Source organism: Homo sapiens, chromosome 16 (assembly GCF_000001405.40).
Source record: "Homo sapiens chromosome 16, GRCh38.p14 Primary Assembly".
In the NCBI taxonomy this organism is placed as follows: domain Eukaryota; kingdom Metazoa; phylum Chordata; class Mammalia; order Primates; family Hominidae; genus Homo; species Homo sapiens.
In genome coordinates, this window is record NC_000016.10 from 77,466,158 (window position 1) to 77,490,523 (window position 24,366).

Sequence of the window (24,366 nt, forward strand, 5' to 3'; positions counted from 1 at the left end):
TTAAAGATGGCTAAAATGGCAAATTTTATGTTATATATAACATGATGTTATATTTAAGCGCCTTTTTTTCCCAACTTGGATTGTATTCCTAATATGCTTTGGAGGTATATCAATATGATTTTTGTATAACATTTGTGTTGAATGAATGAATACATGACTTTTAAAAAAATTTAAGAAACTCAATCATTATATAAATCCAGCAGAGCATTTATCATTTAGTATCTGCCAGGACCAGGAGATACAAGGAGAGTAAAGTATAGAAAATTCATTGCTCCAAATGTTTTCTCCCTAGTAAGGAAAATCATGTATATCCCTGAAGAAACCTGTTGTGAAAATGAAAATGCCTTCAGGCTGAGAACTTTTTTTTTTTTTTTTTTTTTGAGACAGGGTCTCACTCTGTTGCCCTGGCTGGAGTGCAATGGCATGATCTCGACTCACTGCAACCTCTGCATCCCGAGTTAAGCGATTCTCCCACCTCAGACTCCCAAGTAGCTGGGACTACAGGCACGTACCACCACACAGGGCTAATTTTTTGTAGTTTTTGGCAGAGATGGGTTTTCACCATGTTGGCCAGGCTGGTCTCGAACTCCTGATCTCAAGTGATCTGCCCACCTCGGTCTCCTAAAGTGCTAGGATTACAGGCGTGAACTACTGCGCCAGGCACAGGTTGGGAACTTTTGATGCTGTCTATGTTCTTCCCTGGAAGCGAGCTTTAAAATTATGTCTTCTGGGAAGCCTTCTCTCAAGCATGGGCTAGGTTAAGCTCCCTGTCAAAGGCTTGTGCCCAACACAGCTTAGGCTTTTTCGATAACGCTCCTTCGAATTGGTGTCCCTCACATGTGGCACACTGTCCCTAGTATGTGGCACACTGTAGATTCCCAATAAAAACATATTAAAGCCCGGCATGATGGCTCACTCCTGTAATCCCAGCACTTCAGGAGGCTGAGGCAGATGGATCACTTGAGTTCATGAGTTTGAGACCAGCCTAGGCAACGTGGTGAGACCTCCTCTCTGCTAAAAATACAAAAAAGTAGCCAGGTGTGGTGTCACACACCTGTGGTCCCAGCTACTTGGGAGGGTGATGTGGGAGGATTACTTGAGCCTGGGAGGCAGAGGCTGCAGTGAGCCAAGATCGTGCCACTGCACTCCAGCCTGGGTGACAGAGTGAGACTTCATCTCAACAAACAAACAAATAAATGTGTTAAGGAATGCAAGTTGTAAATGTAGCCAGAAGATCCTAATTCTTCTAGGGCATCATGACAAATTACAGAAATTTAACTTCATGTAGAACATCAAACTCCCTAGCTAAATTGTCAAATTAGAGTGGGCATTCTTTTTTCCATCTTTAATAGACGTTCCCAGCCAAGTAGCTTTTTTAAGCTCAAAATCTTCAAAGCAGCATGTATTTCTTTGAGTTACTGTGAAGAGAAAAATGCCCCATACAATTTATTCAAGGTCCATTAAGAAACCCTATTAAACTCTTTCCCTCCAAACATATGTAGTCTTAGAGAGTATGGCTGTGTGTGTTTGTATGTCTATGTAAGATATACATGTCTTTGAGACATATCATTTCCATCCTGAAATGCTCCAGTTGGATATTTCATGTTGCACAGGATGAAGGGCGTTTAGAGGGATGGGGGAGGCAGAATCATTCTGAAGGCTGCAGGGACTGAAGATTTCAGAACGTCTGACGGAGTAAGCCTGGCTCTGACTATAGAGCCTCTTCCTCTTCAGATCCCAGGGGGCTCTTTCTCTGCAACTGTAGGCATCTTAATCTCTTTGAGCCTCAGAGTCTTTGTTGTAAAGGTAGAATCATTTGACCTGAATAATTTGATCATAGTAAGGGTTAAAGGAGGTGATGAGTAAAGTCTCTCACGATTTCGGGTGGTTAATTAAGCCATTCTCACCACCACCACCACCACCATTTTCTTTCTGATAAAGTAAATGAAGCAAGGCGTGTGATAATGAGGGCTAAAGGGCCTCTATAAACCAGGACCCCACCCCGGGCCCCACCATAGAGCCTAAGCTCTGTGATCTGCTGGATGCCTCAGATCTGAGAACAGCCACAGAAGAAAGAAATGTGATCCCTTTCTGAGGACCCAGGACCCTGAGTTACTGTATATATTCAGTTTATCAATTATCAAGAGCATTTCCTGTCATATCCACACATTTAACAGTATCCTCCTTCTCAAGAGCCCATTGGCACACTCGATTTTAAAATGTCCTTGTAAAAAAGAACAACAGAGATTTTCTACAAGGCCCATCTGCCTTTTAATTTTATTTCTGTCCCTAGGTCCCTAGTGGTTTTTGTTTTGTCTGGTTCTACATTTACGTGGAATTGCTCAGGGATGTTTTTTATGGTTAGAAAGTGCCTGATTTCTGTAGCTATCTATGTGTGAACATAAACCTCACCAGTTTACAAGAAGCTTGGACGTTCCAAATGGTAGAGGAATGGTTTGTGCAATGCTTGGTACTAGTTCCTGAGGCTTCTGTTCTGTCACTTTCCAGAAAGAATTAGGTAGTACCAGAATTATTAGAGAATCATTTATGTTTATGTAGGGCATGTATAAAGCTTGCACCAAAACAAGCAGTGATAAAAGTACAGGGTTCTGCCTCTTGCAAGGAAATTTCTCAAATGGCCAGGATGGATTTCAGCCTATCAAGGATAAAACTGTTGAACTAGACCTCTGGCTAGGCATCAGAGAGTCTCCATTTCCCATTCTCTAAGGCAAAAAATATGAACCAGTTTCCACTGGCAGTACTGGAGGTGATTTTCATAAGTGCATGAACAAAATAACAATGAAATCTCAGGGACTGAATGTAATTGAAAAGGGACTCACTTTCTTATTTGCTGATTACATCAAGGGGAAGTTCTCTCTTGGCTCAGCCCCAGCGTGTCTTTAATTCTTCTCTGTTAAAAAGGGAGATTAGCAAGCATTAACGAGAGAACAGGCTTCAGGCTAGAGCCTTTGGCAGGCGACAGTATCCAATTGGAAGGTAATGAAAAAAAAAACAGTGAAAATAATAGAATGTTTTAAAATTTTTATTGTGGCAAATGATATAAAGATTCCTTTTTATGTATTTCTATTTGGGAAAAAAGTGAGTTGGCTTAAGGAGAAATATTATGGAAATATTAATACACATGGTCTTTTGGATATCACCTGGAAGATTCCAATCCATCAGGGGTTCTGTCTATATCTATAACCTACATTTTGCCCCTTTACTTCCAGCCTGAGGGTAAAGAACAAACATGGGAAATTCTGAATTTCTTGAAAATTCTACAGAAAATAGAATAATGGCCCCTTAGCTATTTCCTTCATGTTTACAGTTACAGCCTGCTTTAATTAGATAATCTCTAAGATTCCTTCAAGCTGTAGCTGCTCACTTTTTAGATGAGACTGTTGGGGCTCAAAGAGGTAATGGAATTTGCCCAAATTCACAGGACAAGGAACTGGCAGACCCAATACAAGGACCCATGGCTCCCTGTTCCCCATCTGCCGAGTGAAGCTGTCTAAGAAGGTTGGGGCAATATTCCTCTCTTCTCCTGTTCCAAATGTGGTTTTATCCTGCCAAATCTAGCCTGTAGGTATTGGCCAACTGGGACAAGAGGGGTCTCAGCTTGCCAACTTCGAGGCCAAGACCATCTGGTGTGTGAGAAAGACATGTGTGATGATGACCTCAGGGATGAGATGACACCAGCCCCAAAGCCCCTGGGGACCCTGCAGTTCCGTTCTTCCAAAGAGTCCAGTGATGGTCTCTTCCTTCCTATGACATAGGAGACTACCCTGTGTTTATTGTTCCCACAGCCCAGTCCCAGGGTGGGCCTTCTGTGACTGCTTCTCAGCCCCACCCTGTCTAAACATGCAGCCCCTACTGAGCTCTCTTCAGCCATCCCAGCAGAACTTTGCTAAACCCTACTGCTGACAAAAGCCAAAAGCCATTTAACAAATGCCAGAGATGTCTATGTCATTTTGTTTATTAGATTTGGTCTCCTTTACAGTTAGAGGTCTACTTATTTTTTAACAAAAATTTCTTTTTACTAAAAAATTGGCATAGGAAAATTATTTCCTAGACTCCTGTACGCAATAAGTCATCTGTCCATTTACAGTGTCATGCATAATACTACTGAGTCATGAATGGTGGATCCATTCAAAGACCAAAACCTACAAAGAATGCATTAGCCCAAATTTTTCCTCACAGGGCTTTTCTTTTTTTCATTTTGTAATCAGGACATCTGGGAATTCTATAAAATCAAGTGCTTTGATATGAAGAAAGGAAAAGCCTATTAGTTTGTTTTCATATACAAGCAAAACAGATTCACAGATTTATCAAGAGAATTCTGCTATAATGATACCTGAGCTGGGACAGTGAATCTTTTTGAAACTTATGTTAAGGGTATTCCCTTAAGCACCAGAATTTACCCTCAGCAGTCTAGATAGACAATCCCAAATGTAACAAACAAATCATACGGATGAAAACTGGGAAGACAGATTTACAAAAGGATGGGGGAAATTGTGTTCCTCTTTCTCTCTTGCTCTGTCCTGAAATGTGGCTTCCACCTGCTCTTTTATTCTTCAGTGATAACTCTGAATGAAAGTGCCTGTATAGAATGAAAAACCAAACTGTGCTATCAGCAACTAGTTGAAAATCACTTCCTGAGCACATCTGGTGCTCAAGCAGAAGGGACTTGACATTTAAGCACAGGACAAGAACAGCAAAGTGGTCAAGAGCATTGCTGGGAGGTCAGACTGCCCTCATTTGAGAATCCTGGCTCCAACACTAACCAGTTCTGAGGATTCAGGCATGTGACTTCACCTCTTCAAGCCTCCATTCCCTTATCTTCTAAAGGGAGATTATAACAAGATCCTCCTCACAGGTTGTGGAAGGATCATGTAATACCTTTAGAATGTGCCTGGCACTAAGTTTTTATGGTTTTGATATGCATGTGCCAACAATAATAAAAAATTGCTAGCAGCCTTTGTGCATGGTGGAGACTGCTCCCTCCAAGGTGAAAAAACAGGGTCCTAAATTCTCTCCCTTGCTTCCTGCTGTATTTAAAAGAGAATGAGTAGAATTCTAATTCCAGCTCACCTACCAACTGAAGGTCTTAATATCAGGTAAATTACTTCCTTTCTGTATTTATCGGGACTCTTTTGGTTCTATGTGTCATGAACCCTACTCACACCATTAGACATAGAATGCAATTTATTAGAATATGCAGTTGGGAAGTCCAGGTACCAGCTTCAGGTACTATTGGATACAGAGATCGTAAATGACTAAACTCTGTTGACCTCAGGTACCAGCTTCAGGTACTATTGGATACAGAGATTGTAAATGACTAAACTCTGTTGACCTCAGATACCAGCTTCAGGTACTATTGGATACAGAGATTGTAAATGACTAAACTCTGTTGATGTCTTGTTTTCTGATGCATTATCCTCCTCCTTAGCCTTCTCTAATTCATGGCTTTGTTTCTACTGGGTCTTGTCTTATTCTTATCTATTGCACACAAGTTTCTTTTACATGTTTCAAGATATCCCTGATCATGTCTTCCAATTCTGTTTCCCAAAAGATAAAACCTCCTTTTCTTCAGCTCTACATGAGCAAAGTCCTGGAAAAGAATTAGAATGACCCAGCTTGGGACTTGGAAGTAAAAGCTGGGCTAATTGACACAATTGGAGAAATGTGGTTATAATTGTCTGGGTCTGCATTATATACCCAACCATCTCTCAGTAGACCAACATTGAATGGAATATATGCACAGAAGAAAGAGGGGTGTTCAAAAAAATGAGAATAGTTGTACCCTCTGAGAGAATGAATTTCCCTATGTTGAAGGGTTTACATCAAGATATAAGTTGTTCTTGGTAAAGGAACATGCTGGAATCTCAAGAAAAAAAATGGAACATATTACTTTTCACACTCTTCTGCATTTTCTCAATTCTATTGTGCTTTATAACCCAAGACTTTGATATCCTCCCCAGTGAAGACTTGGTTTTCTATTTGTTTTGCTTTTGACTTTGAGACCCACTGAAGCAGAAGATCTTCAAAAATGCTTTCAATTTGACATACTAAGATTGTTGTGAGGAAAGAAAACAATGACTCTTACTGGTGTGATTCCTGTATCTGGACCATAGGCTCAAATACCCACCCTTATTCAATTTTCACATCCCAAAGGAACAGGGAATTGGCCTCCAGAGAGTAGTTTGCGGTCTTATTTTCAACCCTAATCCCTTTCCATTCCCTGTCCTCCAGAGTAGATTAAGTGAAGGAAATTCAGAGAAGAGGAAATCATATAGTCAGCTATTTCCAAGAGACAAACTTAAGATGAATTCTGGGATGTAACTCTTATAAGCTATTTGAGCTTAAAAGTCATGTTGCATATGTGAGCCTCACCTTCCTCTCCTGTAAAATGGCATAAGGTTAACTTTTGATAAGATTAAATGAAACATTGGGAAGGGTACCTTCTGCTTCCAGATAACATAAATTGACAAGGTTTACCCTGGTTAACCCTTGAAACACCTGAAACAAACCAACAAACAAAAAGAGAAAAAATACATAGAAAAATGGTTTTCAGAACTCTGTGCATCAAACTACAAAAGAGTGATCCCTGAAAGATGAGGAAAAGATGATGGTGATAGGACTGCCATGGCCCCTGCTTACATCTTTGAAAGGGCTTCATCAGTCTGTGGTGTAGGGAAGGGGATCTCATATAAAGCCTGGAAGACTCTGAGTTGAAGAGTTGAGCTGAGTAACCAGGGAAACCAAGGTGGCCAGAGTATGCTGGGCAGAATCTTGGAAAGGAAAGAGCTGCACTTAGAGAAAACTCCAAAGATCATGAGATGGTCCTGCTTGAATATTCAACAGAGTACTAATCAGCCCAGGCATCTTAAGAAACGATTCCAAATAAAGGAAAGAATCATCCAAAATATTAAAGGGAAGATTGTCTGGTACTCAACACAGGACCAGAAATAATGTCTTTTACCCCAGCTATAACCCATACTTCTTAGGGAATTGGGTAGAGCCCTCAGGAAGCTCTTGCCTCCACAGTAGGGAATAATAAACCCTAGACTAAACACTGCTCCAGACCTGCCTAGGAAATAAATAATAAATACGAAGACCAAAAAATGATCAAATTGTTTCCAAGCAACTCCATCACATCACAGAAAAATCTCAAGAATAGTTACAGGAATACAAAAATATCTATTATACAATAAAGTGAACTCACAATGACTAGCATACACACATGACCAGGCATGTAATGAAACCAGAAAACACAACCCAAATTGAGAATAATTAATACATTGAAAGTGACCCAAAACAGTTATGGATATTAGAATTAGCAGACAGTGACATCAAAATGGTAGTTATAACTGTACTCCAAATATTCATAAGTTTTGACAAGATACTTTGACTCAAAAAGACAAAAGATATTTTTTAAAAAAAGATTCACATTCTACATCTAGAAATTAAATCTATAATGTCTAAAATGAAAAATACATTGGAGGAGATTATTTCCAGATTAGATATCCTAGAAGAAAAGATGTGTAAACTTGGAACTATGGCAATAAAAACTAATCAAAATAAAACTCAGAGAGAGAGAAAAAAAGCCTAAGTGAACTAAAGGACAACTCGAGGCAGTAACTGGATTCTGTGAAGAAGAGGATGGGTAAAGGCAGAAACAGTATTTGAAGAAATTGTGGTCAATTGTTTTGAAAAATTTAATGAAAGTTGTTGTATACTTACAGACCCAAGAAACCCTATGTCTCCCTGCTACAAGAGACACAAGGAAAACTATAGAAAGCTACCTCACAATCAAAATTGGCTCAAAAGTATCAAACTCACAAAAAACATCTGCTTAAAATCAGTGATAAAGAGAAAATTTTAAAAGCAGCCAGAGGGGTAAAAGACAAGTTATGTCCAGGAAAACTAAAATAAGGGTGAAGGAAGATTTCTTATCAGAAACAATGCAATTTAAAAAAGTGGAACAACAACTTTTAAAAACTGAAATAAAAATTAAAAGCTAGCAATCTAAAACATACTCAGTAAACTATCTTTCAAAAAGTCAAAGTTAAATAAATACATCTTCAGAAATACAAAAGCTGAAGATATTAATCACCAGCACACACAAAATCAATAAATGTTAAAGTAAATCCTTCAGGAAGAAAGAAAATGATATCAGATGAAATGGAGAGCACCAGAAATCATAGCTTAATGAGCACATGTATCATATTTTTAAATTATTTAAACTGTCCGGGCACAGTGGCTCACGCCTGTAATCCCACCACTTTGGGAGACTGAGGCGGGCAAATCACTTGAGGTCAGGAGTCCGAGACCAGCTTGGCCAACATGGTGAAACTCCATCTTTACTAAAATACAAAAATTAGCTGGGCGTGGTGGTGACTGCCTGTAGTCCCAGCTACTTGGGAGGCTGAGGTGGGAGAATCACTTGAGCCTGAGAGGCAGAGGTTGCAATGAGCCGAGATTGCACCACTGCACTCCAGCCTGGGGAACTGAGCAAGACTCTGTCTCAAAAAAAAAAAAAAAAAAAAAAAAAGAGGCTAAAAGAAACAAAGAATAGATCAAAAAGAAAAATGACAAGATGAAAAACTTTAAACCCAACAATATCAATAATCATATAAGTGTAAATTGTCTAAATGTTTCAATTAACAGGCAGAAATTTTCAGACTGAATCAAAACAGAAGATTAACTACATGCTGCCTGCAGGAAAACATATTAAATGTAGACAGGTAAAATATAAATCATGCTAATACTAGTCAAAAGAAAGCTGGAATGGCTATGTTAATATCAAAGTAGATGTAGGACATGGAAAATTACTAGGGGGAGAAAAGGTTTTACATAATAAAAAGATAAATCCATCAAGAGGACACAATTCTAAATGTTTGTGCACCAAATAACAAAGTATCAGAATACATGAAACAAAAACTGATACAACTGTAAGGGAAAATGGACAAATCAAAAATTATTGTGGGATATTTCAATATCACTTTCAATAATTTATAAAACAAAAAGAATATCAGACTGTGAAAGATTTGACAACACTATTAACAGATTTGTTCTGATTGATATGTATAGGCTCTCCACGGCTAAACTCAGAACACACATTCCTTTCAAGAATACACAGAACGTTACCAATATAGGCTATATTGTGGGTGATAAAACAATTCTCAACATGTTTAAAATACTCAGGTCCTACAAAGTGTATTCCTTTCCTGCAGTTGAATCAAAATAAATAAAAACAAAGTATATTCCTTGCTCACAATGGAATTAAATTAGAAATTAAGTATATTATTTGATCACAATAAATTATAATCAATGACAGGAAGATATCTGGAAAAATCTCAAATATTTGAAAACTAAATAACATACTTTTAAATAACCCATTAGTCAACAAGGAAAGTGCAACAGAAATTAGAAAGTATTTTGAACTTAATGAATATGAACATCAACATTTAAAATTCTGTGGCATGCTGCTAAGGCAGCACTTAGGAAAAATTTTGTAGCACTAAGTACCTGTATGATAAAATTTAAAAAAGTCTCAACTCAATTACTCAGCTTCCACCATAAGAAACTAGAAAAAAGAAGTGCAGTTAAAAAAAAAGAAAGGTAACTAGCATAAAGGACATAATGAAGATCAAAGTAAGAAATAATGAAATAGAATAAAAAATGGAGAAAATAAATGAAATCAAAAGCTGGTTTTTTGAGATCAAGTTAGACTGGCCCTAAGAAACACAATCTTACACACACACACACACACACACACACACACACACCCCATAATATCAGGTATGAGAGGGGTAATGTTAGTACAGAATCCACAGATCTTAAGAGCATAATAAGAGGAAAATATGAACTACTTTAGAACTATAAATTTGACAACTTTTAATAAAATTGACAGGTTTAAAAGATACAACCTATCAAATCTCACTGAAGAAGATATAGACAACCTGAATAGCCCTGTATCTCTTAAAGAAACCAAATTCTTAAATTTTTTCAAAAAAATAAGGCTCCATCCCCATAATTCATAATTTCTCTGGTGAATTCTATCAAACATCTAAGGAATAAGGAATAATAATCCTACACAAATTGTTTCAGTAAATTGAAGAAGAGGAAATACTTCCCAGCTGAGGCCAGTGTTAACCTTTATATCAAAAAACAGACAAGGATAGTACAAGAAAATAAAATTACAGACCAACATTCTTCATATATATGGGTTTAATTTGTTAGCATCTTACTTCGAACTACTGTATCTAATGATATATGTAAAGGATAATATATCAAGTGGGGCTTATCCAAAAAATGCAATCCAAGGATGAAAACCCATTAGTATAATTCACCATACTAAAACTAAAAGAGGAAAACCATATGATCATCTCAATGGATACAGGAAAAGCATTTTTAAAAATAAAATATCCATTTTCTGAAAATAAAAACTCTCAAAAATTAGAAACAGAAGATAACTAGAAATAAAAGATGACTTTTTCAACTTGATAAAGTGCATGTATGAAAAAACTTACAGTTAACACCAGATTTAATGGTGAAAGACCAGATAGCTTTCTCTTAGGATTAGAGACAGAACAAGATTCTGCTTTCCACCATTTCTATTAGCATTTTACTGGAGGTCCTGACCAGTGAAATCAGAGGCAAAACGAAACTAAACAAAACAGAAATAAAATGCATTTAGTTTAGAAAAGGAGAAGTACAGTATTTTAATTTGCAGATAACATAATTGTCTATGTAAAAATGCCAATGGAGTCTACAAAAAAAAAAAAAAAGCCAGTAGAAATAATGAGTTTAAAAAGTGCATAAGAAATAAAAATCTTTTCTAGGCATAACAGTTAAATGATTTAGCTGGGTAAACTGGAAAAAAGCAAAGTCTCAGCAGAGATTGTGACCAGTGAGGCTTTTATAGATCACATTACATGTCAGTCAATTGGAAATTAAACTTACCTTCCAAGATGAGAGCTAGTAAGTCATACTCAGCAAATAAAAACATAATTTCTAATTTTTCCCCTCACCAGAAACTACTGGTCTATTTGTGCTGTTACAACAACATACCATTACATAGCAATTTAGAAAGGACAGAAATTTATTTCTCACAGTTTTGCAGGCTGGGAAGTCCAAGATAAGGCACCTGCCAGTTTGGCGTCTGGTGAGGGCTGCTCTCCACTTCCAAGATGGCACTTTTATGATGTATCCTCTGGAGGAAAGGAAGGCCATGTCCTCACATGGTGAAGGTGGAGGGGCAAGACAGCTGAACACTGTGTGAATGAAGCCTCTTTTACAAGGTCCTAAGGTCCTTAATCCCATTCTCAAGGGAGGAGTCCTCATGGCCTAATAACCTCTTAAAGGCTCCACCTTTTTTTTTTTTTTTTTTTTTTTGAGATGGAGTCTGGCTATGTCGACCAGGCTGGAGTGCAGCGACACAATCTCAGCTCACGGCAAGCTCCGCCTCCCAGGTTCACACCATTCTCCTGCCTCAGCCTCCCCAGTAGCTGGGACTATAGGTGCCCACCACCACGCCTGGCTAATTTTTTGTATTTTTAGTAGAGACAGGGTTTCACCGTGTTAGCCAGGATGGTCTCGATCTCCTGACCTCGTGATCCGCCCGCCTCGGACTCCCAAAGTGCTGGGATTACAGGCGTGAGCCACCTCGCCCAGCCAAGGCCCCACCTTTTAACACCATTACATTAGCCTCCAAGATTCAGCACTTGAATTTTTTTTTTCTTTTGAGATGGAGTCCTGCTCTGTCACCCAGGAAGGAGTGCAATGGCACGATCTCAGCTCACTGCAACCTCCACCTCCCAGATTCAAGCGATTCTTGTGCCTCAGCCTCCCAAGTAGCTGAGATTACATGCATGTGCCCAACACACCTGGTTAATTTTTGTATTTTTAGTAAAGACAGAGTTTTACTATGTTGGCCAGGCTGTTCTCCAACTCCTGACCTCAGGTGATCCGCCCATCTCGGCCTCCCAAAGTGCTGGGATTACAGGTGTGAGCCACCGCTGCCGGCCAGCACCTGAATTTTTGAGGGGACACGTGCAAACCGTCTCTCTCTCTCTTTCACCTCAGTTCTTAGCTCCACCCTTTGCTCATTTGCCTAGGCTGGAAACTCAAAAGTCATTCTGATTTCTTTACTTTCCTTACTTTCTCCCCACATCCAGTTCATCAACAGGTTTACTCCCCAAACCTACTCAAATCTGCCCACTCCACTCCACCTTCAAAGCCACCCTTGTCCTGGCTGGCACCATCTCTTACCCTGTTTCAACAGTCTCGTCATTTGTCTTGCTCTTTCCACACGTCCCCTTCATCATCGCCCCGACCCTCAAAGTTATCTAGGCACCAGCCAGAGTGATCTTTATAAAACTGAAATTGGATCCTATTTGAAGGGTAATAAGAAGCCTACCTTTCTTAACTCAACCGATACCAACCCATTGGTTAGCTACATGTTAGCTATATTGGCCTTCTAAAAGTTCCCTAGGTTATAAGCTCTTTCCCATCACAGGGCATTTGCAAATGTCACCCTCCTGCCTGGAATCACTCTTCTGTCACTCCCTATGGTAACATCTTCATCCTGTAGGTTTCCTTAAATCTCTCCTTCGTGACACCTCTCCTAACTCATTTCTTTAATGCAACTTCTTGCTTCTTGACTAAACAGGTATAACAAAGGTACCCAAAATTCAGAGGCTCACTCAGAATAGAAATATATTTCTTCCTCATGAAATGGTCCATAAGCAGCCAGGCAGTCTAAAGCAGTAACTAAGCCTTGCTGAAGCTCCTTCTGTTTCTTCTATTTTGATTCACTCCCATTGTCTTTGTTTGGGCAGCTATACCAAAGTACCATAGATGAGGCAGCTTATAACAGGTTATTGCTGTCAGTTTTGGGGGCTGCAAGTCTGAGACCAGTGTACTAGCAAATTCTGCATCTGATGAGGACCTGCTTCCTGGTTGATAGGCGACTGTCTTTTGGCTGTGTCCTGACTAGTCCCATCCACGAGGGTTTGACCTTCATGACCTAATCACTTTCTAAAGGCCCCATATTCAAACACCATCACATTGGTGATTAGGTTCCAATATATGCATTTAGGGAGGACAGAAATATTCCTTCTACAGAACCTATCCATATGGTGTTAACCCCATTCACAAGGTTGAAGCTGGCTTCCCTGTGCATGGCAAGGGGAGAAAAGGAAAGCGCTTCCTCTAAAGGACATGGCTTAAAAAATATACCCATTTTCTCCGCTCACATGCCATTGGCCAGAACTGAGTCCCAGGGCCAAACCTGGCTGCAAGCACACCTCTAAGTATAGTTGCTAACCTCAGGGAAGATTACTGCTAAAGGAAAAATGAGCATGTATTTTGTGGAGTGATTATCAGTATCTGTCAAACTGCCCTACTCCTATTCATTCTCTATGCAAAACTCTCTGTTTATTGGACGAGTTAGCAAATGTGTAGCTGCCCACAAGACTTTGAGCTCCAGAAGAAAAGAGAACAATTCAGTCTGGTATATCTCCACACTAAGACCTGGGGACTTTTGTTTGTTTGTTTCTGTTTTGCTTTTTATTTCTCTGTTAGTTTTATACTGTTTCTATACACTCTTTTTTAAATAGCTTTATTGATGTGCAATTCACAAAGCATACAATTTGCCTATTTAAATGTATAATTTGATGTTTTTAGTAGATTTGCAGGATATACCACTATTTCCACACTCTAATTTTAGAGTATTTTCTCCCCACAGAAGAAACTCCATACCTATTAGCTGTCATCATACATTCTCAAGGTAAAGCCTCCCCTGGAAGATTGTTCTAAATACATATTGCTACTCAGTGGATTTTATCACTTTGTCTTGGAGCCCAGAATAAACAGATAAAATTCTACCATCTGGCAGGTAGTGATTATCTCATTTTGCATTGCCTCCACCATACACATCTGTGAAGGGTAGGATTATAGCTCCCATGTTACAGAAGAGAATACTCAAGTCTGGGTCCCTCCTCACTAGGTTGAGGATTTTGGGAAGTGTTAACCCACTTGCTCCATATGGATCTGTCTGAGTCCTCAGCTTCAGCTAAGCAAATAAAATGCATATCCACATCTCTTAGAAAATTATCTTCATAGGGTTTCTTTTGGCCTGGGTGTGCAACCTGTTATATAAACAGTATTGATGTTGTTGTTGATGTTGTTGTTGTTGTTGTTGTTGTTGTTGTTGTTTTGAGATGTCACCCAGGCTGGAGTGCAGTGGCACTCAATCTCGGCTCACTGCAAGCTCCGCCTCCTGGGTTCACGCCATTCTCCTGCCTCATCCTCCCGAGTAGCTGGGACTACAGGCACCTGCCACCACACCCAGCTAATTTTTTTTTTTTTTTTTTTGTATTTTTAGTAGAGACGGAGTTTCACCGTGTTAGCCAGGATGGTCTCGATCTCCTGACCTTGTGATCCGCCCACCTCGGCCTCCCAAAGTGCTGGGATTACAGGAATGAGCCCCCGCGCCCGGCCAACAGTATTGGTTTTGAAAGTGAACCCTCACAAACTGCTGTCTGATCTGCCCGCCAACCACTTTCATATCAGACGTTCTGATTGTGCCATCATTTTCCCTAGTGACATAAATATCCACACCAACACTCAAAAGAACTGGACATCTTCACAGACAAGAATTTTTCTGTTTCTTAAACTATTCCCCAGCTTGCTCTCATGGTTGGCAAGGTGCCTCTGTTGAATCACTTGATATTCTGACTTGTCTTACAGTAAACTCTGCAAACAACCAGAAGGACAGATAATCTTTCCTAACTGTGTAGATTCTGGGTACATGGAAACTTGAGAACATTGAGGGTGCTGTTTTCTCAGAGAAGGCTCTCACAGTTTGCATCTACTTGCTTTATTTGAATATAGCCATTTAATGTATCAAAATGAAAAATAAAATTGTCTACAGTAGCTACCTCACAGCTCCTTGTCCTCGCCACAAGCCACAAAGTTGCCAACTGTTGTTGTCTGCACTTTCTCTCTTTCCAAGGAGTTCCCTTTTGAAAGGAACAATGGTTTCTTTCCAGACACCTTGCAGGGAAAAATGGCCTAAGCCAGGTGAAGCTGGCAAGGGTAGGAGCTGCCACTGGAGGCTCAGGCTGAGAGGCAGCATGGTGAGGGAACCCAGGAGGAGGGTTGTGCAGCCTTGCTCCACTCCTGTAGACTTTGATGTTTTAAAGACATATGGAAGGCAGCCAGGGAAATTCAGATACACTTACCCAGTAATTGATTATTCAGCTGCATCTCAGAAAGACATAGCTTGGCCCAGGCTGACAGCTATTGTTTCCTTTTGCTGCCTTTCAGGGTGGGAGCCAAGGAAATTGGGGCAGAGATGCAGCCTTAGGGGGACCGGAGGTAAGAAGTCATCCAGCCCAGGAAGCCTATTGTTCAAATATTTGCCAACTTCTTTTGTACTTCTAGTCTGAGATGGGCAGTGGTGAGAAATAGAACCTGATAAAAAGAGCCATTGATGAATAGGTGGAAAAGAAGGGAAAATGAGTGCAGACTCTACGGACAAATAGAATCATTATAGGTTTAATGATTTTTCAATTCTTTGTGGGGTAAGTCATATGAATACCCCATAGTTCAGTGTGTACACAAACATTTTAAGATAATGAATATTAATCTGATCTACCATGCATTTGTCCCTCTGCATGTTGACTTTCATTTAATTTTTATATATACCACTGGAAGAGCTTATGAAATATTATACCTCTGTTCCTCCCAACGCAATTTTCTTGTTATTTTTGACAGATGAACAAATGTCCATGCTAATTTTTGAGTAATTACTTCTGTTGGTTGTTTTTCATAAGCATAATGGGCTAATACTCAGGCTAGGAAAGGAAACTTAGAGACCTGTTAGGGCAGTGATTTGAACTTGGTGCATATGAGTATTGGGGGAAGGGTAGAATAAGAAGGTATATATCAGATTTTCGCAGGGGAAATTCATGTATACACTTTAAAAGTTTTTAAAATTATACTACTGCTTAGATTTAATGTGTTTTAAACAGTTGTATATACTTGGAAGATTCAAGGGAGTGAGCCAGTTTCTCTTTTACAGACAGGTAAACTGATGTCCAGAGTGATTTGCACAAGGACACCCAGCTAGTGGAAGTGGCAGACTTGAGACGTGAAATCATTACTCATTCTAACCTCAGCCCCGTTTCCTGATATTCGTATATTTGTGGCTGCAAGGACATGGTTTGGTGGCCGCAAGGACATGGTTTGGTGTCTGTTCTAATCATCTCTCTGCTAAAGAGAGGAAAACGAGGATCTTGTGAATGGCAGTTGATAAGTTCTAGACATAGTATTTAATAAATGTTATTAGTTTTTGCAGATCATTGTACTAAGCATTTTATGTGCATGATCTTATTTAAAACTCATCACTATGCTACAAGTTGAGTACTATAATTACCTCCATTTTGCAGTGAGAAAAGTGGTACTGGGAGAGGTTCAGTATCTTGCACAAAGTCATATAGTTAACATGTGGTTGATTCAGGATTGGAGCACACGCAATCTGACTATAGAACCCATACTCCTAAATGCTGGAACCTATAAATATCTAGCATCACAACTGTTTTTGCTCTCAAACAAGGCAGGCTCTGAGTTTAGTAGAGTTGGAGGAGAATTTGACCAGTGTTCTTTCTCAGGGTTCTAACAATATTATGGGTTGCCTTAGCATAGAGTGAGCTGAACATCACAGAGGAGAATCAAACCAGTGTTGAATATCTACTGAGGAAAGATGTCTCCAATCTGGGGTGAGGCTATTGACCTTAGCGAACCTCAGGTCTTTTCTAATACTGGGAGTCTTTGACTCTCACAACCTGCATTCTGTGCCTTGGCTCTAGGCTTCAGGTCTGCTAATTTTGGCTTTCCCACTGGTCTCTCTCAGATTGTGGCACCTGTTGGAATTACAAAAGTAAATACGGTCTTGACCATACTGTTAAACTGCCTTCACATAAGAATACGTGGGAACTCTTGAAAGAAGAATTTTTAAGAGTTTAGTGGTTTTTTTTTTTTCTCATCCCAGTGAATCAGGCAATAAACAACATCCAAAGAGCAGGCCTCTTACTTGAGTCCCAGCTGGTACAATGGTGTCACCTGGGCTTATTGTAGGGTGTTGAAACCCTACAAAAGTGATGAATCTTTGCTTGAAAGCCACCTGCCACACAGCCACCTAGCAGGATTCTGGGAGCTCAGGATATGTGAGCAGGAAAGGATTTGATTACCAACTGAAAGGCATTTTCATTTTGACATATGAGGAAACCAGAGAGAGCAAGTAAGTTGATTTATGTCACACAGCAAGTTGGTGGTGAAGTGAGCACAAATTTGGGACGGCCCTGAGATCTTCCTGAGAAATTCTTCTATCCATTTTTTCATCCATCCAATAAACATCTGTCTGATCCAGAGACTGTGCTTAATTCCCAAAGTGATGACAACTAACTAGACAAAATGAAACACGTTAAGTGGCAGAACATGTGAAGGGAGAGGATCCACAAGTGTGGAATCATCTTCTAATAACCATCACCAGTGCAATCATTTACAATTGGAAAGGACAGGCTGCTGGAAGACACGGGGCTGTCCTGGCAAGGCAAGCACAACCCAGATCCCTGCCTTTCTCTGTCTTTTCCCATTTCTGCACGGCTTTGACAGTTTTGAGCTGATTCTGGTCATAGCCTGGAGGGAGAGAACATTCATGGCAGCCCCAAGAAGGACAATTAGGTTTCACATTAGCTTCTCTCACGACTTCGTCATTGATTGTCTCTCTTTGTTGAAATATTTGAGAAAATAACCCCAGATAGAGTTCTGGAATACATGAGACTTGGAGATTTTTAAATAAAGGACATTCCACAGAGAACAAGCTTAAATATTGACTCATAAGAGGAAGCACATTCTCAAGGTAGTGCCAATGGGTTCTGGAAGTTGAATCTGAGCTCTGCAAATTTAATCTGGGTGGACGTGGCTATGAGGCAGTTCCCCAAGTTTCTCCCCAGATCTCCAGTGTCTAGCTTAAATAAGGATAGAAAACAACCATTAGTCAGCCCCACTTCTCCTAGTTTTCCTTTCCCTTGCTATGCTTGTTTTCTTTCTCCTTTCGCCTATCCTATTTGCTACCAATGTGACTGAGGAACTTTCACCCAGCCTTGATAAGAGCTAACCTTGACCATTCTTCTGCTTGGAAATAACCAACTCAGAGTGCTGGAGGATGAGGCCATGGAAGTATCTTTGTATCTGGAGATAAGATTCAATTATTCCAGTATTTGCATGCCCCCACCCTCCTTCTGCATTAGCTTAGATAATCCAGTGCTGTCCAAATGATTGTCTCTCTGCCTCTCCACAGTGTGAACATTTATTTCCATCATCTCCCAGATTTTCCAGTTATGTGTTTGCATCTGATACGTGTCTCGGTGTTCTCCAGTGTTGATCCTGTTTTGTTTTTATTTCTCCCTTTGTACAGTCTTTAAGTACTCCCTGATGGTGTGTGTTGTGTGATTTCATATCATGAGAATGGCGTGGCCATGGCAGTGAGGCATTAGGTTGTATCATAAATCAACCACAGTTTGGGGATACGATGACAGGTGTGATTTATAGGCTATTTCAGCTCCGATTTCCATAGAGTTATTCTCTGATTCACAATTATTCCTTGGAGGAACAAAAAGTAAAAGAAAGTGCAGTGTGGGTGGTAGGCTGCCTCCCTAGATATTCACAATAGTCATCATATCCATATAGGAAAGCAGATATTTATGCTTTCTAATGGATGAATATTATCCATGGCAACTGGGAAACTGTCAGAGCTGGAAAAAGTGACTCGACTAAACCTTATTTTCCCTTGACCTTGGTAAAACAAGACTAATTTTACATAGTGGTCAAGAGAATTAGACAGTTGCCAATAATTTATGGTAGAGTAAATCCCCAGAATGAACCTAAACTATCAATATGTAAGTTAAATGATAAATTTTGATGATCAACTTTTGTTTACATTAAGTAGAAGCATGAAATGTGATCAATTTTACCAAAAGATAATTCTTGTCACACGTATAGGACTTTTGAACCTTGTCTACCCCAGCTAGGGTGGACCACACAATATTATCTTCCAAACTGGGATGTTTTTGAGAGTGAAAAGGAGTGCATTGAATTATTCCAGGTAACAGGGAGTACCAGGAAAACTGGATCGAACTGTGACTCTTGTCACATTAATGGTTTTTACTGTATCTTCTATGCCTTATCACTAGATCCTTAAGAGCAAAGATCAAGATGACATGGTTACCTTTTTTGAGAGCTCGTTTTATTATCTGCTAGGGGTTAAGAATACATTTGTATTGAATGATTGAAACACTGATGTTTGAAATAAACTCATCAAGGTGCCTGGTATAAGTGTCCAGTAAATTATATTAATAAGTATAATTTAGATATAAAAATGAGCATAATTTATTATAGTTTAGATGGTCAATATTTTTTTGCGGATGCTCAATATTAGTGGTTTTCAGGATGCTTTAAAGTTTATCACTTTTTCACTGAATCTCTTTTAGTGCTTTACATATGTAATTTTACCCAGAGCCCTAATATATACAACTTATAAAACTAAGCATGTATAGGTTGGCAGAAATCTTTTCAGCATTTGCAGTACTTGTAAAGCACACCTTCAGATCCAAATGCTTCATTTGGGGCAAAATTCAAACTCTGTAACTCTAAGTAAACCTTGACTAAAGTGTTAACATATGAACTAAACATAATTTGGAGGAAAAAAGTCCCAATACTTTTAGCAAGTTCAGAAGTGCATTTAGGAAGAAATAAAAAAGATTTGGCATTCCCTGTGTTTTTGGTTTTCTTTAAAGTTCAACACTTAATGATAATGCATGTTGAGTCCTTGGTGATCCATTCAGCTGAACTTTAGAGATAGAACAGAACAGAAAAAGAAAAAGACCACTGCTAATTGCATCATTTATCTTTAGACTCTTGTAGACCCAAAAAACATTCAGTAGGAAAGAGATTTTCTGAGTGAGCTCTATGATATTCCTTTTAAACCTCCTCTTCTCTCTGACCTGCTCAGTCCTTGCTTTGACTCTCTAGGCCGGTGTGGATAGTTGTTGTTCATCGTAATATTTGCTGAAATATAAGTAGATTCTTCCATGTCATTGTGATCCCAGAAGATTTCACAGAATGTTCCTATTAACGATTGTGAGGGCTGGAGCAAATATTTGAATTCATTGACTGTTTTTAGGAGAAGCTTCTTTCCCATATTCCAAAAAGCCAGAGTTGTTGATGATGAGTTTGTGCCAAGGTCTTAGCAGGGCCATGCCCAAAACTATCAGGCTCAAAGCTCTGGAAGCAGTTGGCCAATGACTGGGCCACATTGGGGCTTCTCTCCCATCATACATACTTGTTTTTTTTTTTGTTTTTTTGTTTTTTTGTTTTTGCCTCACTGGACCTTAGAACATCACTGTATTAGGTATCTGTTGCTGCAAAACCAGTTGCCACAAACTTAGCGACTCAAAACAACATATATTAATTATCTCACAGTTTGTTTGTTTATTTATTTATTTTTGAGACAGAGTCTCTCTCTGATGCCCAGGCTGGAGTGCAATGGCATGATCTCGGCTCACTGCCACCTCTGTCTCCTGGGTTCAAGCGATTCTCCCACCTCAGCCTCCCAAGTAGCTGGGACTACAGGCACCCATCAACATACCCAGCTAATTTTTGTATTTTTAGTGGAGACGGGGTTTCACCATGTTGGCAAGGGTGGTCTGGAACTCCTGACCTCAAGTGATTCACCTGCCTCAGCCCTCTCAAAGTACTGGGATTATAGGCATGAGCTACTGTGCCCGGCCTATTATCTCACAGTTTCTATGGATAAGGAATCCAGCATAGCTTGGCTGGGCCCTTGGGTATAGGATCTCACAAGGTTGCAATCAAGGTGCCATGGTTGGGTTCTCATCTGAAAGTTTGACTGGAGAAGCACTGGTGTCCAAGCCATGTGGTTGTTTTTCAGAATTCAGTCCCTGGAGGATTATTAGACTGAGAGTCTCAGTTCTTAGCCAGCTGTTGACCAGAGATGGCCCTCAGTTCCTTGCTAGATGACCTCTCCATTAAGACAACTCACAATATGGCAGCTTGCATCATCAGAGCATGAAAACAAGAAGAATCCAAGAAAGAGAAGAATTTCAAGACAGAAGTCACAATCTTTTTTTTATTACTCATTTTTTTTTAAATTATACTTTAAGTTCTGGGAAACTTGTGCAGAACGTGCAGGTTTGTTACATAGTTATACATGTGCCATGGTGTTTTGCTGCACCCATCAACCCGTCATCTACATCTCCATTAGGTATTTCTCCTAATGCTATCCCTCCCCTTGCCCCCCATCCCCTGACAGGCCCTGGTGTGTGATATTCCCCTCCCTGTGCCCATATGTTCTCATTGTTCTACTCTCACTTATTAGTGAGAACATGCTGTGTTTGGTTTTCTGTTCCTGGGTTAGTTTGCTGAGAATGATGGTTTCCAGCTTCATCCATGTCCCTGCAAAGAACAAGAACTCATTCTTTTTTATGGTTGCATAGTATTCCATGGTGTATATTTTATAACCCAATCTTGGAAGTGACATCTCATCATCTTTACCATATTGTTTTGGATGGAAGGAGATCCCCAGTTCTGTTCACGCTTTCAGTGGGAGAGGATTGCAAAAGAGTGTGAGTACCAGAAGGTGGGATCATGGGGGCCACCTGTGAGTCCACCTGCCATAATCACTGTATGCTGTTGGGGACTCATGTGAAGTGGAGGAAAAACTAGAGGTCAACACTGGTTCATGCAAGGCATTCAAGTCCAGCATCTCTGAACTGCTGTGCAGCCTCCTCAAGTATCACCCCCTCCCTAAGGCTTTTCTGTCTTCTGTGAGCACAACATGTCTACTGAGTCTTATGGCCATTGTGTCTGCTCCCGTCACTACCCAGAAAGTTCTTCTCTCAGCTCCACCTACAAATGGCTCCTTCTGTTTATATGTCACCTCTTCTCAGAGACCACCTGAATACCGATTGAACACTTATTTACTAAGCTCCTACTATGTGTTAGGCACTGCCTGGGACCCTGAAACAAATCAGAGAAAATTTCCAAAATATGGAATCTCAAGGAATTCTCTATTTAGTAGAAGAGAGAAATAAGTAACTAGCACTCAGTTCACCCTATAACAATTTACTATGGGAGAGGCAAGGGCAGGGTGCAGACGTAGTAAACTACAAACTCTCAGTGGGCTGGGAGAAATATACTAATTGGCCCATAAGTTGAAGTCACACTCCTCAGTCTAGCACAAAAACCGTTCACAACTGGTATCTCTTCAGCCCCCATGCTTCTCACCACATGATCCCATCCCAAAGAAAAAAAGTTGGGTGGGGAGTCTGTGTTGTGTTTGTCCATGCGTTTTCCCTTCCATCTGTTGTTTCCTCTGCTAAAAATCTCTCTTCTTGCCTGTCGAACTCTTCCACATTCTTACAAGGATCAAATCAAACCCCTTTTTTAGAGACTTGCCCAAATCCCTAGAAATTTAAGTGGCTACACACACTTTGCTTCCACAACCCTAGACACATAACTTGAATAGCTTGTGCAACATGTACTGTAATTGTGAATGTGACTCTTTTACTAAACGGTGAGCTCCTTGGCAGCAGAGTATTTCTTCATCACTGTCCCTACAGAGCAAGGCTGTCACTCAGGAGTTTCTCAGTAACACTGTGAAGAATGCATAAGAAAAAACAATATAACACTCTTAAGCTATTCATCACTCAACTTGATCTTTTTTTTTCACCTTGTGTAAACGCCCACTGAACTTCTGGCTGCCCGATTCTCAACAGGAATGTTTTCAATACCTGGCCATCCTATAGTTCGTGAGAAGTTCCAACATGCCCACCCAGAAATTAGAAACCTGAACAACCCCTGACTCTAGCACGGTCTTTGAACCCCAATCTGAATTGTATACATCTGTCTTCAAAAGAACTTAAGATCCAACATGAAACTCATGGAGGAAAACATTGTCTTCACATTTAGAAGGTGGGGTTCTAAAGCGCGAATTTTTCTGTCTGGTCAGGATTGCTTTCTTATTTCTAGGACCCCCAGGTCAATTGATGCTTTCTCGCTTCATGTCTCTGTTCTTGAAAGAATTGCTTGACTGCCAAGGTTCCCTGTGATCTTTAAAGCACAAACTTACACTATGATAATATCTTACATGTAATCTCCAGTGTATTTCAACGTAGTGAAGACATGTCTTTTCTCAGGCTGTAAAATAAACTTTAACATGTTTTAGGAGGTCTCACTCTACAATTATTTCTGCCATTTTAACCTAGTCCCTAATATTGATGGTGATAATGAAAATAGTGATAACAATAACTACCACTTTGAGCATTTATCATGTGCCAAAAACTATACTAGGTGCTTTCTGTACGGACATTTTTTTTTCCATTTTACTCTCTAAAGCCACCTGAGGTTGAGATTGCTAACACATTTTGCAAATGAGAAAATTTAGTCTCAAAGTATCTGAGGGCAGACAGAGAGATGTACCTTTCAGGGGAACTAGGAAGAGGCCTCAGTTCCTAGCTGACTGTTGGTTGGAGGTCATCCTCAGTTATCCTACCCCAACCTGTCTCCTGACCTTCAATCCTTGGGAATAAAGCCTCTTGTTCCCCAACAAGAAATAAAATAAGTGCAGCTGAGGCTCCAGAATCAAGAGCTAATAATCACACAAAAATACAGTGACCAACAATTGCACCTTTTTTGAGGATAGGTTTCAATAAAAAAGGTTGGGGGAAGAATGAAAGATGGGTAGGAAGTTGAATCAAGAACCCTAAATGACTAGAGAGGAAGGAAGGTATCACCTCTCTCTTATTGGAAAATTACCCAAATGATTAAGGCTAGTTGGACTGAAGATAAAACCAGATCAATAATTGTGACAAATTCTCCTAGATTTGGGTCTTATTTATTCCTTCCTTTTTTCATTCAGCAAATAGGGTTGTATCTGTTCATCATACAGGATTAAATCAATGCCTAAACAAGTACCATTCAACATCTCATATAATTTTCAAGAAATAATGTTTCAACAAGTTACCAGTGACTCATTTTGTTTCTGAATTTGTGGCTAAAAAATCTGTTTCTTGTGTTATTCAATACAAGAAGAATGAGCACATGTAAACAATTCTTTCACAACTTTGCAGAGCCTCAGGTTAGACCCTATAGGCCTCTAATCCTCATGCCCTTTCTGTCTGTGTAACAGAGTCCACGTGAGCCCACCCCAGGATCTATGATCACTTCAGAGACACTGTAAAGGGGATTTCAGGAGCCTTCAGTTCAATACTTAAT

General features: G+C 39.8%; 1 long non-coding RNA gene across 2 annotated transcripts in view; it reads right to left on the minus strand.

Annotated features, from left to right (window-relative positions):
- The window catches only part of LOC105376775 (uncharacterized), a 53,183-nt gene that overhangs the window by 3,191 nt on the left and 25,626 nt on the right, over positions 1-24,366 (minus strand). Inside the window, exons 2-3 of one of the 2 annotated variants that reach the window (XR_933753.3) lie at positions 2,841-2,911; positions 1,435-1,821 (exon numbers count right to left, since the gene is read on the minus strand). This is a non-coding gene — a long non-coding RNA (uncharacterized LOC105376775). Of the gene's footprint in view, positions 1-1,434; positions 1,822-2,840; positions 2,912-24,366 lie in introns of those variants that run through there. The other variant, XR_933752.3, reaches the window with a different exon arrangement.